Source organism: Homo sapiens, chromosome 14 (assembly GCF_000001405.40).
Source record: "Homo sapiens chromosome 14, GRCh38.p14 Primary Assembly".
Taxonomy (NCBI): Eukaryota; Metazoa; Chordata; class Mammalia; order Primates; family Hominidae; genus Homo; species Homo sapiens.
In genome coordinates this window covers 38,370,473-38,386,773 of record NC_000014.9, presented here as the reverse complement: position 1 = coordinate 38,386,773, position 16,301 = coordinate 38,370,473, and the positions used below count along the sequence as shown (strand labels likewise).

Below are 16,301 nucleotides of genomic sequence, written 5' to 3'. Positions count from 1 at the left end.
GTTTTTAGGGGCTAAGCCTAGCTATGCTCATATTGCTTCCCCTCGGTTACCTATGCAAACATTATCTGTCCACTTTACCTTTCATCTTTAGCCTTAACTAAAAATTATCATGTGGGAAATAAAATTTAGAGTGGATCTCTGAGGTTTAATGAAGCATTTAATTTAGAAAGCATCATTTAACATTTTCTCAGATTATGATATCATACTCTTCCAAGCCAGTGAGGAGAGTTTGTCATAATGGAACATTAGTATAAACAGGTATTCATAACAAAGAAAGGAAATCTTAGCATCCTGCTTTGATTCACATATTCTCAGTAATAGAAGACAGTCACATTAACCACTACATATTCATTTCTAAGTGACATACTCTTAGAAATTTCCAAATATCAGTAATTTATAATATGCCTTCACTTAACAAGTACTTTGGAATTTTATTACTACCATTTTAAGGGAAGGTTCAAATACTGTCATTTGCTTGGAAGATCACTGCATTCAACATCAGACAGAAGACTTGAGCTATGGATTAAGAGTTGAAAATCGTCAAGATTCCAAAGATATACATTATTATGGAATTAAGAGTACTAGGATGTAATCTGTTATAACTGGTGAATATTTTCTAAGTGGAGCAGAAGCTTGACAATTATTTAGCAATTTCACTTGTATGGAAAACCATCTATAGCAAAAAGAAATCCAAAAAGCACAGTGAATTAGATAATTTGAAGAAATAACAAGCTGAGGAAGATGAGTTGAGCATGTTTTCCAACAGTTTGCTCTTGAATTGCTACATTCTATGGCATGTACTGGAAAAAAGGATGATAGCAAAATGACTGAAATGTAACAGAGTGTAGTCAATACGTTACTCTTCAAAAGCCTTCTGAATGATTACTCTGGCATCAAAAACGTAAAGGCTCAGACTTTCCACTCTCCACTTTCAGCACTCTCACCACAACAAAATATACAGGTTTCTTTATCTTAGGCTCTGCATACTGTTCCCTTCAGGTCCCTTGGTTATAGGGTATTGCTGTTCAAATCAATATTATTCTGAATAATAGATCAAAATGATCATTTCTGAAAATAGATAATGCAGCATTTTCCCCTTAGACCGTCGTTTCTTCTGACCCCATTACCATTAATGACCTCCTCACTATGAACAGCAGCCAAGTATCTCCTAGTAACTAAAATATGTAAAGGGTTTAATGTTATTTTTGAATAGTGGTTACATGCACATAGTGTAAAATTCAAAGAGCACCAAACATTATACATTCAGAGGAACTCTCCTCCTCTTCTCAGCTCCTGTGCCCCATTTCCCTCCTCAGAGGCAACCTCTGCTGTCGATTTCTTGGGTGTGCTTCGAGAGGTACTCTGCTGTTTTCCATGAGTGGTAGCATTGCAAACACGACTACTGTGCAGCACCTTTTTAAAAAAAAAAACATATTTATTGAGGCATAATTTGCACACTATACAATTCACCCATTTTTAAGTGAATATCCAATGGTTGTGTAAGCTTACAGAGTCATGTGACCATTTCCAAAGTCCAATTTTAAAACATTTATACTATTCCAAAAAGATCCCTGGTGACCATTTGCAATCATTCCCTGTTCTCACTCCAGCCCCAGGAAACCACTAATGTATTTTCCATCTTTATAGATTGGCTTTCTGGGGTCTGTTGTGACTGGCTTCTTTCACTTAGCCTAATGTTTTTAAGAAACACCAATGTTGTAGCATATACTGCTACTTCATTTCTTCTTATTACTGAGTACTATGAATGTCAGAGGACTACATAATGTGGAAGTTGGCAAATTTCCTCTTTTTGACTTATGCATGGTATGTTAGCAATCCATGTTTGCAACAGTTTCCCACCCTTGGAGCTTTATCCTCTAATAACTTCTCAAAGTATTTCTTCCTAACACAAATAATGGTTTCCCTAAGACGTATTTTGATGAATAGTCTCTTTAGTCCTCTTCTTGATATATTAGTATGAGAGAGCTCTTAGGAAGCACATGAGAGGGGAAGGACTGAATAAAGAAGTTGAGAGAAAGTCAAATATAATTGCAGCCCATGCAGAGGTGTCCGTTCTAACATTGCTTTCTAACAGCCATTCCAACATGCCTAGATATATATATATTCCATTTAGTCCTACCAGACCTCCATTCATTCAGATACAAGAACACTTTATAATTGAGCAAGTTAATGTTTATGTAATAAAATATTGATTAGAAAGAGCAAGTGTCTTTAAAGTTGAACATCTCTGGGCTCAAATCCCAGCTTCATCATGTCCTAATTGAGTAAATCTCTGCTAAGTGGCAATGAGCAGTAACACACATGCCATTGTGTAAGGATCAAAAGATGAAATATACAAAACACCTAGAGCAGTGTTTGGCACTAAGTAGGGACTCAGTAAGTAGTAATTGTTATTTTCACATCTCTAGAAAGAAGAAATAACTATCTTTGTCTGCTGGCAACGTTTCATCTTTTTCCACCACTAATGAATAGATATATTCCAAGGTAATCATTAAATAAATTCTCAGTCTTCATAGATAAAATGACTGTACGAATTTTATTCTGTCAATGTAATAAAATAATTAAGTCATTGTTTTTAAAGGCTTTGACAGTTGCAATGTAAGAGCGAAGAAGCCATTCTCAGCATCAACCACCATCAAAAAGTGCAAGATAATTAATTCAGAGGTTGTGGTTTAATAGAATCTATTATAAAATAACATCTAACAATGGAATTAAAATTGTTTTTATATAACACTGTATTCTTTGACATTCACAACTGACCCTTGAGATAAGTAGACTTCCTGTGATTACCCCTAGCACGGGTGAGGAAACGAGGCTCACACATGTGAACAACCCTGAATCCTGGGCTTTCCCCTCTATGTTGTAAAAATTTGATTAAATAAAATAATGAATTTAAAAAAGCTTCTTAAGCCATAAAATGTTGTGAAAATATAAGTAGCTATTGTGATTGTTCTTATCTTGGAGTAGACAATCTAATAAATTCTAGAACTCAAAAGTTTATCTTTTATAGTTAAAACCAAAGCATTTAATTCTACTACCAAAATCTCCAGAAGGTTGAGCTCTTCTCAGACGACCTTAATCTTGGTTCTTATTGTAAACTAAGGATCTGCATTTCCTCTAGGTCTGTGAAATTAGGTGAGGGTTAGAAGAGACACAGTCTTCAAGGCCTTCTAAATGTCTTGAGGCAGCGGGTTACCCAGGACTAGGTCGCTGATAGGAATCAGCTAAAAGCTTTGCAAACAGAAAACCCATATAACCCATTATAAACTTTGGTTGCAAATACAGAATTAGATACTGGAATCATGTGGATCACAAGGTGCCTTCATCTAATGCCTCCTACTCAGAATGGAATTTAAGGACCTTACAATTTTTATTATTACAATAAATATGACCTTACAATTATGATGCCACTCCCCTATTGTACTACTTTCAGCTATGTGTTAGACACATCTTCCTACACATTCATAGCCCTTCCACTATTCAGATTGACCCAGTGTCTCTATCTCCAGGGTTACTGTCACCAGTTACTATTCAGCATGAAAGGATTTGAGTGCAATTTGCATGTCTCTTTCACATTGTTGTTTTAGTAAACTATTGTAAGTCTACTCTTTCTATAGAATTCCTGGAAATTATACAATGTCTGTTTCCCCTTTAGCTAAAAGTGTACTCATTTCATTTATGGAAAAAATCTAGATTATTTTTGTGGGGGTTTAACCAGCTTTGCATTTCACAAGATAAAATACAATCTCAGGGGAATACATTAATGTATAGATACTTAATAAAAATATCTGGTATCTTTCCATCAATAGGCACTCCAAATAATTCTCAATATATTTTTACAGACAAAATTGAAGTATTCAATTTCAAAAAACTTATGAAACCAACCTAAAGACATAAAAGCTCAACATTGATAGATGTCTATCAAATTAGTCTTAGCTTCAAAAACATAAAAGGAGCTACCTCTATGGTTTTAAAAGCACTTTTTTCCCCTCTTCCATCATGTTATAGAGGGTGGATGATGGAAGTTTTCCTGACTTGCTGACTGAACTATTTCGCTATCTTCTGACTAAACTTTTTCCACCCTCACACCCATTGCAATGTCCAAGAGCAAAACAGGGGCTGTTGCTTCCTGCTTTTTCTCTTCTTATGTCTGAGACACAGAGTATAAGTGGAGGAATGCAAGTCATCAGAGTAAAAGACAGCCAAGTGTCATCATATATAAGTTTAGAATCTACCTGTGATGTTCAATGGGAACAAGGTTTTCCAACTTTTACAGAAAGGAGATTTTTATTTTTATTTATTTTTAAATTTAATTTTATTTTAAGTTCTAGGATACACAGGATGTGCAGGTTTGTTACATAGGGAAATGTGTGCCATGGTGGTTTGCTGCACCTATCAACCCATCACCTAGGTATTAAACCCTGTATGCATTAGCTATTTATCCTGATGCCCTCCCTCCCCCTGTTCTCTGACAGGCCGCAGTGTGTATTGTTCCCCTCCCTGTGTCCACGTCTTCTCATTGCTCAGCTTCCACTTATAAGCGAGGACAGGCAGTGTTTGGTTTTCTATTCCTGTGTTAGTTTGCTGAGGATAATGACTTACAGCTCCATCCATGTCCCTGCAAAGGACATGATCTCTTTCCTTTGTATGGCTGCATAGTATTCCATGGTGTATAAGTGCCACATTTTCTTTATCTACTCTATCATTGATGGGCATTTGGGTTGATTCCATGTCTTTGCTATTGCAAATAGTGCTGCAATGAACATATGTGTGCCCATGTAAATTATTATAATAGAATAATTTACATTCCTTTGGGTATATACCCAGTAATGGGATTGCTGGGTCAAATGGTATTTTTGGTTCTAGATCCTTGAGGAATCACCACACTGTCTTACACAATGGTTTAACTAATTTACTTTCCCACCAACAGTGTAAAAGCATTCCTGTTTCTCCACAGCCTCACCAGCATCTGTTGTTTCTTGACTTTTTAATAATCGCCATTCTGACTGGCATGAGATGGTATCTCATTGCGGTTTTGATTTGCATTTCTCTAATGATCAGTGATGTTAAGCTTTTTTTCATATGTTTGTTGGCTGCATAAGTGTCTTCTTTTAAGAAGTATCTGTTCATGTCCTTTGACCACTTTTTAATGGGGTTGTTTGTTTTTCTTCTTATAAATTTGTTTAAGTACCTTGTAGATTCTGGATATTAGCCCTTTGTCAGATGGATAGATTGCAAACATTTTCCCCCATTCTGTAGGTTGTCTGTTCACTCTGATGATAGTTTCTTTTGCTGTGCAGAAGCTCTTTAGTTTAATTAGATCCCAATTGTCGATTTTTGCTTTTGTTGCAAATGCTATTGCTGTTTTTGTCATGAAACCTTTACCCATGCCTATGTCCTGAATGGTATTGCCTAGATTTTCTTCTAGGGTTTTTATAGTTTTGGGTTTTACATTTAAGTCTTTAATTCATCTTGAGTTAATTTTCGTAAAAGATGTAAGGAAGTGATCCAGTTTCAATATTCTGCATATGGCTAGCCAGTTTTCCCAGCACCATTTATTAAACAGAGAATCCTTTCCCCATTGCTTGTTTTTGTCAGGTTTGTTGAAGATCAGATGGTTGTAGATGTGTGGTCTTATTTCCAAGATCTCTGTTCTGTTCCATTGGTCTATGTGTCTGTTTTCATACCATTACCATGCTGTTTTGGTTACTGTAGCCTTGTAGTATGGTTTGAAGTTAGGTAGCGTGATGCTTCCAGCTTTGTTCTTTTTGCTTAGGATTGTCTGGGCTATACAGGCTTTTTTTTGGTTCCATATGAATTTTAAGTTGGAAAGGAGATTTTAAATAACAATTCTAGGTAACTGTTACAAGCTAAATTGTGTCACCCACTATTCATGTATTGAAGTTTTACCCCTGAGTTCTCCAAAATGTGACTGCATTTAGAGACAGGGTTTTAAAAGAAATAATAAAGTAAAATGAGGTCATTACAATGGTTCCTAACCCAAAATGACTGGTACCCTTATAAGAAGAAGAGATTCAGACACAGGGACAGAAGGAAGATCATGTGAAGACACAGGGAGAAGGTGGCCAACTATAGTCTAAGGAAAGAATCCTTAGGAGAAGCCAACCCTGCTGACACTTTAATCTTGGATTTCTAGCCTGTGGAACTGTGATAAAATATTCTTTTTTTGTGGTTTAAGTTACCTAGTCTGTGGTACTCTGTTATAGAAGCCCTGGAAAACTGATACAGTAAAACTAAACACACACACACTCTCTCTCTCTCTCTGTCTCAGATTACTTTAGTGACCACAGCAGAGTTCCCAGAAATAGACCACTGTCCCTAACTCTATTATTACTTCTCTGGCTCCCCCACCTGAAATTGAAAGGTGCTATTCTCTATAATCCATTGGTCAAAGGTCTGCAGTAAAAACAAAAGTTAAAATGCCTGTTCTTACCATGTAATCCCCAGGAGGTGACAAGCCCTCTGATCCTTAGTCTTCTCCCTACATCTCTCTCAGATGACAACATAACAGATGTAGGAGCTGTCTTACCTAGGTTCAAATCTCTCCTCTGCCCATTTACTTGCTGTGTAACCAATGGCAAGTTACTCCACCTCTCTTTTCCCGTTGGTAAAATATGGATAATAATAGTACCTATGATTCTTGTGAAGATTATATGAGTGTGTGTGTGTGTGTGTGTGTGAGAGAGAGAGATATAACACTCAGGACACATGATAAGTATTGTGTAAGTGTTTACCTTTTTGTTTTTTTCATCATCATAGGCTTCTTAAAAGAATTTAATAAGGCAAATTATGTAAAGCATAGTCCTTGCAAGAGTACAGGTGTTCAATAAACTAAAAATAGTGTGCTGACTTGCTGTAGTAAAGAACACAAGGTTTGGATTTAGGAAGTCTAGATTAGAGTTTGGGCTGCTTTACCTTCCTCCTTCTCTCCCTTTCCCCAAAGCCTGCTGCTCTCACAGTCTTTCCATCTCAGTTAATTGCAACTCCATCCTTTCTGTTCCTCAGTCTGAAAGTCTTGATATTATCCTTGAGTGTTCTTTTTCAATCCTGATACGTCTGCCTTCAAAATATATCTGGAAAACAACCACCTTTTATCCCCCCCAACCCCCAAAACCACCACAGTCCAAACTACTCTCTTCTCTCACTTGGCTTATTTCAATAGCATCTTAAATAGTCGTCCTCGTTCTTTGCTTTCTCCCCTTCGGTTTGTTCTGAACATGACAACCAGAATCCTTTTAAAATATATGTCACTCCTCTGCCCAAAATCTTTAATAGTTTCTCAAAGTATGAACCAACCAAACTTACAATGACCTACTAGGTACCATGTCATTTGCACACCCTCATACCCTACATTACTTATCTGACCTCATTTCCTACTTCTTCTCCCTTTCAAATCACTTCACTTGGGCAACATCGACCTTGTTAGCTGCTTTTTGAACACACCAGGCAGGCTCCTGCCTCAGAGCCATTCACTTGCTGTTTCCTCTGCCTGGAATGTTTTTCTACTAGAAAACTCCATGTTTCTCCCTTTCACCACTCTCAAATTTCAGTTTCTTTGGGAACCCTATTTGAATTTACAACTTTTACAAAACTGTCTTTAACTTCATCTTCTTAGATTGTTTTTTCATATATTTGTCATTACAAATATTATAGTTTTAAAAACTCTTGCTAATTACCTATCTTTTCTCACTTGAATATAAGTTCATTGAGGGAAAGGACTTTTGTACCTTGTGTTAACTAACACATTGCTTGTGTTTGGAACATCCCCAATAACTGGCATGTGATATGTGTTCAATAAATATGTTGAATAAATGAATAGAAACATTATCTTAGATAAAATGCCTCCTTTTGATGTCTAATACCAATAAAACAAACCACAATGTACATATACTAAAAAGGGTTAAGGGGTAGATTTCACCTCACATGTATAAATACCAATAATAATAATAGAATTTGTTTACTAAATATAATATATTTAAGGATTTCACTATTTTATCTGATCATGCAAAACTGTTTATTTTGGAAATGAATGACAGATCTGGGATCTATGTACAGGTTTGGAATCTATATCTAGAACTAAATTTAAAACCTGGTTCTTATCATTACTGTGATGTACCATCTAGTTGGTGATATAGATATTCCCTTAGTAAATATATAATATGTTAATCATTATTTGAAATGAAATTCCTAGGAAGTAATAATTTTATAGTGAGAGTTAATAGAAAGGTTTGTACTTATTTCTGAAAACTATTAACTGTTTCTTGCCTAATTTGAGTTCAAGCCAATAGATGAGGGCCAATTATAGGTTTGCTTTAATACTACATTACTACTTCCCCCAAATGTCCAAAATTTATTGTGAAATAATTTAGTAAGACATGGGATCTCACAAGGCTTTTGTGTAATGGGGAGTTTGGCTGGCCTTTGTCCCTCATTCCCAAGAGGTAACTTCTAAACCTGTGGAATTTCCTGAGTAATAGATATTTCTTTGTTATTCAATGTGAGACCCTTGATAGTTTATGTTAACAAGATGATCAGGTTGGGGCCTGGCTGTGCCAGAAAGGCCAGTTATGTGATTAGAGAGTTAGAGTATTCAGCCACATGATATTAGCCTGGTCTCCAGGGAGGCAAGGGAAGCTAGAGATTGAGTTCAACCTCTGGCTGGGCACAGTGGCTCATGCCTGTAATCCCAGCACTTTGGGAGGCCAAGGTGGGCGGATCACTTGAGGTTGGAAGTTCGAGACCAGCCTGACCAACATGGAGAAACCCTGTCTCTGCTAAAAATACAAAAAAGTTAGCCGGGTGTGGTGGTTCATGCCTGTAATTCCAGCTACTCAGGAGGCTGAGGCAGGAGAATTGCTTGAACCTGGGAGGCGGAGGTTGTGGTGAGCCGAGATTGCACCATTGCACTCCAGCCTGGGCAACAAGAGCGAAACTCCATCTAAAAAAAAAAAAAAAAAAAAAAGAGTTCAACCTCAAAGTCAATGATTCAATCAGTCATGCGTACATAATGAAACCCCAATAAAAACCCTGGACACCAAAGTTCAGGTGGGTTTCCATTGTTGGCCATACTCTGGGTATGGCTGCACATTCCTGTGGCAGGAGGATAACAGGACCTCTCGTGGGGAAAAAACAATGTGAACTGCATGTTTGGAACCTTCCCACTGTACTCGATGCTTCTCTTCCTTTGCCTGCCTCTTATTTGTATCCTTTTGCTATAATAAAACTGTAATAAGCATAGCACTTCCCTGTGGTCTATAGGTCATTCTAGTAAATTATCAAAACTGAGAGGGCAATGGGAACCCCCAAATTTGAACCAGCTGGTCAGAAGTGAGATGAGAATAGCCTGGGATTCTCTTAATTTGCAGCTGAAATCTGAAGTGAGAGTGGCCTTGAGGTGGACTGTGCCCTTAACCTGTGAAGTTTGGCCCAACTCTGGCCAGTTGGTGTCTGAAGACATCGCATCTTTCTTTGTCTACTTCTATCCAAATACTTAAACATCTTTTAGTACAGGTAACTCCTAGCTAAATAGTGATACTTTTAAACATAAGTAGGTACTTCTTTTTTGTTAAAAGGAAATGGTACTTTAACAGTGACAGATTCATTCAGATGATTCATTTTGTGAGATAAATGAATTGTCATGGTCCCCTTGAGAAGATTAAAAAATGAGAAATATTCAGCCATATCTAAAATATCTAAGGAATTTCCTTTGAATCTTCATATGAATATAAAAATCTGATAAAAGGAAATTGCAATTCATGATCAATGCCATAGGAGAGTGAAAAAATTGATTGTCATCGTTCTGTTGAGAAAGCACAAAATGTATAAGATCTCTGCGTGTTTCCAAAAATCTTTGAATTGACTTTCTAAACAAATTTAAAATTCAAATCATCAACATAAAGGTACCACTCATGGCCATTCCTAAACAATGGTAAAAATAAATAGGAACACACAGTTCTCTTAATCTGGAAGATGCTTTTGCATATTTGATTACATGTAGCTCCAAAGCTTAAACCAAATAATTTGGTTTATTTGGGACTTAAACCAAATAATTATATGCCTCTTAATTACGTTCTTAAGAATATTACCACTACAATCAGAAAACAATACAATCCCACTTATTCTTCACTCAATTGTGTTATTGAATCATTTTTTAAAAGATAGCATAACATTTTAAGCTTTTTTCATCCTGTTTGGTAATGTTAGTGATTTTTTTCAAATGTTGCCATCTTGTCTACTTGACTTTATAGTCTATCACATACTTCAAAAGGTATATAGCCTTTTCTTATTTTTAGAATTAGTTCTATAGATCATGGCCTCAGATAATGGAGCCATGACATAAATAATCCAAATGAATTATCAAGGCAATTCTAGGTGGAATTTTGTTTGAAGAGACTCAGATCAACAGATAATTATAAAAGTATCTCATTTCTTACTGGCAATTAAGAAAGAGCCAAGTCAAAACCTATACTAGCACTTTTCATCCTAGATCCTTCCATTCCTCAATTTTCTTGAGCACAGGAGGAGTCTTAGAGCTCCGTGCAGGTGAAAACCCCAACCCCCAGGAGTATTTCTCTCCTGCTCCTCCAGTCCCATAACCTTCTTCTTGATCTCTTTATAATGAGACCAGTCTGGCCTCCTACCCTCTTAGTGAGATCTCTTCTTCTTTAGGGAAGGAGATTGAGAGAAGGGAAACTAGATTTGAGTTTGCGGGGTCCTTTTTTTTCAGATTGTTGTTGCAGTGGTAGCCCTGAATCAACCACAGTGTTATTTTCCCTTTCATATTTCATCTTTGGTGGAAGACAGAGTAAGTGCATCTTGGCTATCATAATGTATTTGTTCACTATGTGAAGATACCTAGTATTCTAAATGCACTATACACAAAAGTAACATCCAGTTCAACCAACAGATTGCTGATCTAATGATAAACACACCTAACTATATGTTTAAGAAGTTTTTTATGGCACATTCAACTCATATGTAGCTCACTATCACTGAGAGGGGTCCATTTCAGGGAAGGCTACGTTGTTAGGCATGCTGCTGGCATCATTATTTCTGCACGAATGCTGAAATAAGCACCTATGTGACCAGCTGACTACCTTGCCTGATGCTCATTTTTGTTTAATTATTTTATGGGATGAAGCTATTACATGAGAACACTTTGACAAGAAAATGTCCCTCAATATGAAGTTATATGCCTAGGTTTGCCTTTTTAAATAAATACCATGACATTTTATTACAGCAGGGGAGATGGAGGGACCATTTCAAAATACATTTTTTAATTATCATTACTCCTTTAATTAGACTAGATGGAACTGGTTTCAAACAATCAGAATGCTGGATGGTTGACTCAATTACTGTTTGTTGCTTTCTTCCCCCACTCAATTAAACCACCTCTTTGCCCACTGTCAGCACATTGTGTTTTCCTCCCAGGAGGTAGAAAATGTTATAATGTTATTCTTTTTTATTTCTGCTTGATTTACATAGCATTATTGTCTTAACAAAACTTAACTGGATTTCACTCCATAAGGATTTTAGATAGCAGACTGTTTAAACTCCATTAACAATTAGCCTTTTTGGTAATTATAAGGTTCATTACAAAGAATACAGGCTTTGTTTGCTGCCCACTTTTGTTTTTTGTTTGTTTTCATATTCAGTGCACTTAAAGAAACTTTATCACCCTGGTGTTCCCAGTCACCTGGTGAATTAACATGCAGTTTGTTTACTAAGTGTTGCTGGTATCTTCCATAAATGCAGTCATTAGAATGTATTCTGTGCTACTTAATTGGGTGGAAATTGTATTCCTGGTTATTTTACAGTGTAGCGTATACATTTTAATGTAACTTGTAATGTTTTCATTTTGTCCCTTTTTGTGTGGGTAAAAATACTAGATCTAAGCTGTTCTACCATGAGGAAAAAGCTGTTCTAGAACTCTGAGACAGCTGGTAAATGAACTTGTAAAATTTCAGGGAGATTGGAAATAGCAGTGCCATACCATAGGGCTAACAGAAGAGTATTCAAGGTCTAGGTTGTGGGATTGGGTTGTCCCAGAATACAAAAAAAAGAACCATTTATCTGATAATCACAAAACTAGTGTAGACCTTTGTGGCTGTATGGTATATAGATAATTGATGTTTGAAAGAATAACCTTGAAACAATTAGAAAGTTCTAGGAAATAGCAAAGACTCAATTAATTTGCATGAAATTTTAAATAGTTATGTTTTATTACATTCAAATTCTTAGAATCATACTTTAGATTGATAAATACATGTGTAACAGTATATTCTATATATTAATTCTTAAATGATGTTGATTATTTTTCAGTCACTTGGGACAAATTAGTTTGCTATAATGAATATGTCTGTAATCTAAATGAGTCTAAAATTAGTCTATGTTGTACTAAATGTTCTACTGAAGTTTGTACTATCGCAGATGGCACCTAAGTGAGTTCTGGTTTATTATACACTTATGCCTCAATAACCGTAACAATTAATCATTACTATTACTATGTATTTTAAGTTCTGATGAATATCAACTGAACTCATTAAAATAGTAGGGGACTCATTGACTTTGCAATAATTGGTTCTTAGAATAGAAATATCCCAGAGTTATAGTGTATGTCCAGATACATTGTTTTCTGTACTCTTATTCATACATAATCAGTTTCTGGTCCTTTCTGATGACTAACTTGTATTGTGAGCATTGATTCGATTAACTTATACTCTGCAGTCATAAGCAGCTGAAATCAGCTAGCTACATAGGAGAGGCCTATATTTTCAGACTTCTTTTCTATTTTCAGTACGTTTCTTCTGTTGACTAGCTACCATTCTGGAGTGACAAGATGACAGTCCAAGTTTAAATATATGTGTATGTACATATGTGTGTGCATGCATGTGTGTGTGTGTATGTATGTAAGTGTGCCTGTGTGTATTTGAGGTGGTGCCTTAATATGACAAGAGGCTTTTACAAATATATTATTTGTATTATGAAATCTGTCTTAAAACAGGAATAATTTCAAAAATATCTAATGAATAAACAATAAAATAGTGTGCAACTGCAGTAAAAAAGTGGCTTCCTTATCAGGAAGTGACATGTTAACCAGATGCAGGCAGCAAAAAATTTATTCATTCAAAAGCTTTAGCCTCAGTGGCAAATAATTTTTTTTTTTTTTTTTTGAGACGGAGTCTCGCTCTGTCGCCCAGGCCGGACTGCGGACTGCAGTGGCGCAATCTCGGCTCACTGCAAGCTCCGCTTCCCGGGTTCACGCCATTCTCCTGCCTCAGCCTCCCGAGTAGCTGGGACTACAGGCGCCCACCACCGCGCCCGGCTAATTTTTTGTATTTTTAGTAGAGACGGGGTTTCACCTTGTTAGCCAGGATGGTCTCGATCTCCTGACCTCATGATCCACCTGCCTCGGCCTCCCAAAGTGCTGGGATTACAGGCGTGAGCCACCGCGCCCGGCCAGTGGCAAATAATTTTATGCTGACTTGATTAGACAAACAAAAACGTTTTTTAGAGAGGGGGGAAAAAGGACTGTCTCTTCTGTTACACTTTTCTCAAAATTTCATAGATTTAGCTGTATTTTATTAAAACAAACTTGCTTGATTTAAAAAAAAAGACACACCCACCCTTACCAGGAAGGAGTAATATTGTCTAGTTTTATCTTTATGATGAAAATTATGAAGACTCAAAGTAATGATTATCATGGGAAGAACCTAATAAACAAGTGCTCAATAAATGCTTGTTGGAAGAATGAGCACAACTGTAGTAGCCTCCAGGCTTATTGAGCCATTGCTAGGGGTTTCTTAAAGGTGCCAAACTCACAATGCCCTCAACTTACTTATGTTCTCTAAGGGAAGTGGTTTTTACTGCAGCCAACTTAAATGGTATGTCATATCTCTCCCTAATAATTTTAGGATGTATGTTCATTTGATCAGGGAATAAGATAAGCCCATTTTAGCTTGAACTACGAGAAGAAGCATTTTCTAAGTCAACTTAAAGTGTACCTCTTGTCCTCTCAGGGGAACTGAAGGAATCTTCCTTTCTGTACCACCTTGCTCCAGCCCCTTTGATATCCCTAAGAGGAGTCCAAGGCCCTAATTGTGCTTCACTACAGCAGGTGGAGTTTTCAAAGAGATTCATTGTGGCTACTAATCACATAACCCAAACTTTGATACAAACTTCATTCAAGGGGAGGTGTCACAGGTTATATCAATGAGAGTCTGCTTTAGTTAGAAGGTATAATAGTCTAGGCTTACTTGGGAAAGTAAAAAGTCTATAATCATGGTCAAGTTTACATTATATTGGGCTTTGGGGCCAAAATTCCAGATGTAAACAAGGTATTATTTTTGTTATTTTAATTTGTTGACTTCATAGGAAGGCAGTATTATGCAACCAAGTCAAGATTTCAATATCCCTTGGCCAAATAGCATTATAGTCACCTTAAGCTCACCATCATTCCCTATAATAACAGATCGAGGTGGATGTTTAACTACTTGAGAAATATTGCTTATGAAAACATGGCAGCATCTTTTCTACACCATATCTAATAGTAATAGCTAATGTGTTAAACACTATAAATGTTTTACATGGAACACCTTACTTAATCCTCAGAACAACCCTGTGAAATGGACATTATTCTTTCCATTTTATAGGTGAGAAAACTGAAACTTACAGAGGTACCTGCCAAGATTTCCCTATCTCAGTAAATGATACCACTATTTATTCAGTTACTCAAGGCAGAAATATAGGGCCACCCTTGAAAACTTACTTTTCCTCACCCTACATCCAATTTGGTAGCATCCCTGGTGGTTTTAACTCCAGTGATTTCTTGGCTTTGACCTCTTTGCTTCACGTTTATTAAATCATCATGATCATACATCCACATTATTGGAACAGAATTTTCACTGGGTCTCGTCAGTTCAATGCTCCTCTTCAATCCACTCTCCACAAGGAGCAAAAGTGACCTTAAAATTCAAATGGAATCATGTCAACGCTTTGCTTAAAATCCTTCTGTGGCTTCTCATAGCAATGAAATAAAATCCATACACTAGAGCAGAGTATAATTTCTGCATCCTTTGGCCCCGATTTATGTCTCCACTTCTACTTTGTTCCTAACCCACCATCTTGTAGTCACACTGCTCATTTTTCAGTCCTTTAAATGAGCCAAGCACATTGCCACCTCATGGTCGCGGCCTAAGCTCCCCCTCTAAATGGAATGTTCTCCCTACATGTCATGTGACTAATTCCTTCTATCCTTTTGGGTGTCAATCTTAAATGTCACCTCCCTATAGAGATCTAATCTTGACAAAACTACCTAGATTATGTTCCCCCATTCTCATTCTTCATCTTAGTGTCTTCTTTGGTCTTTTTGTAACAAAATTCCATGTAAAGTCATTTTATGCATATATTTATTTGTCTTTTTTTGGGGGATGGGTACTGTGTCTTCCCATAAAATATGTGTTCCAAAAAAAATAGGTACTGTTACCATCTTCTTCACTATTATTCCCACAGCAAAACCTAGTAGAGAATAAAAGATAATCAACATATAATTTTTGAATGAATAAAGGTGAGTTCTCAAACTTTGACATTTTCATGGATGTGATATTTAAGACAGAAATTTGTTAGGATGTTCATAACATTATTGACTTTTTTTTTTTTTTTTGAGACAGAGTCCCACTCTGTCGCCTAGGCTCAAGTGCAGTGGCATGATCTCAGCTCACTGCAACCTCTGCCTCCCAGGTTCAAGCTATTTTCCTGCCTCAGCCTCCCTAGTAGCTGGAATTACAGACACATGGCACCACACCTGGATATTTTTGTATTTTTAATAGAGATGGGGTTTTGCCATTTTTGCCAGGCTGGTCTCAAACTCCTGACCTCAGGTGATCCACTCACCTCGGCCTCCCAAAATGCTGGGATTACAGACTTGAACCACTACGCCTGGCCCATTATTGACTTTTTTTTAACCAAATAGTAACATTTAAAACTGTATACATACATATGTGTATATATATTTTCTGTATACATATATTTGTGTATGTATATATATATTCTCTAGACATAATTTTTATTTGTGATACTTATGTTCTATAATGTTTCTTTGAACACTGATTTAGCAAATACTGGATAATTGGTCTTAGAGGAAATATGGAGCTAGGTTCCTGCGAGCCCTCTGGTCACAAAATTTTTATTAATCAATCAATATATAACCCTGTTACCATTTTCTTTCTTTTATTCTTTAGGTGAGAAAACTTAAGATCTAC

The 16,301-nt window shown here is 36.5% G+C and overlaps 1 long non-coding RNA gene across 1 annotated transcript; it reads right to left on the bottom strand.

The window, feature by feature from the left end:
* Nucleotides 1-139: 139 nt before the first annotated feature.
* Nucleotides 140-15,556, bottom strand: LOC124903304 (uncharacterized). The gene is made up of 3 exons (XR_007064118.1): nucleotides 15,356-15,556; nucleotides 14,810-15,005; nucleotides 140-1,413 (listed from the first exon to the last, which is right to left on the bottom strand). It is a non-coding gene; the product is annotated as an uncharacterized LOC124903304 (long non-coding RNA).
* Nucleotides 15,557-16,301: the final 745 nt, after the last annotated feature.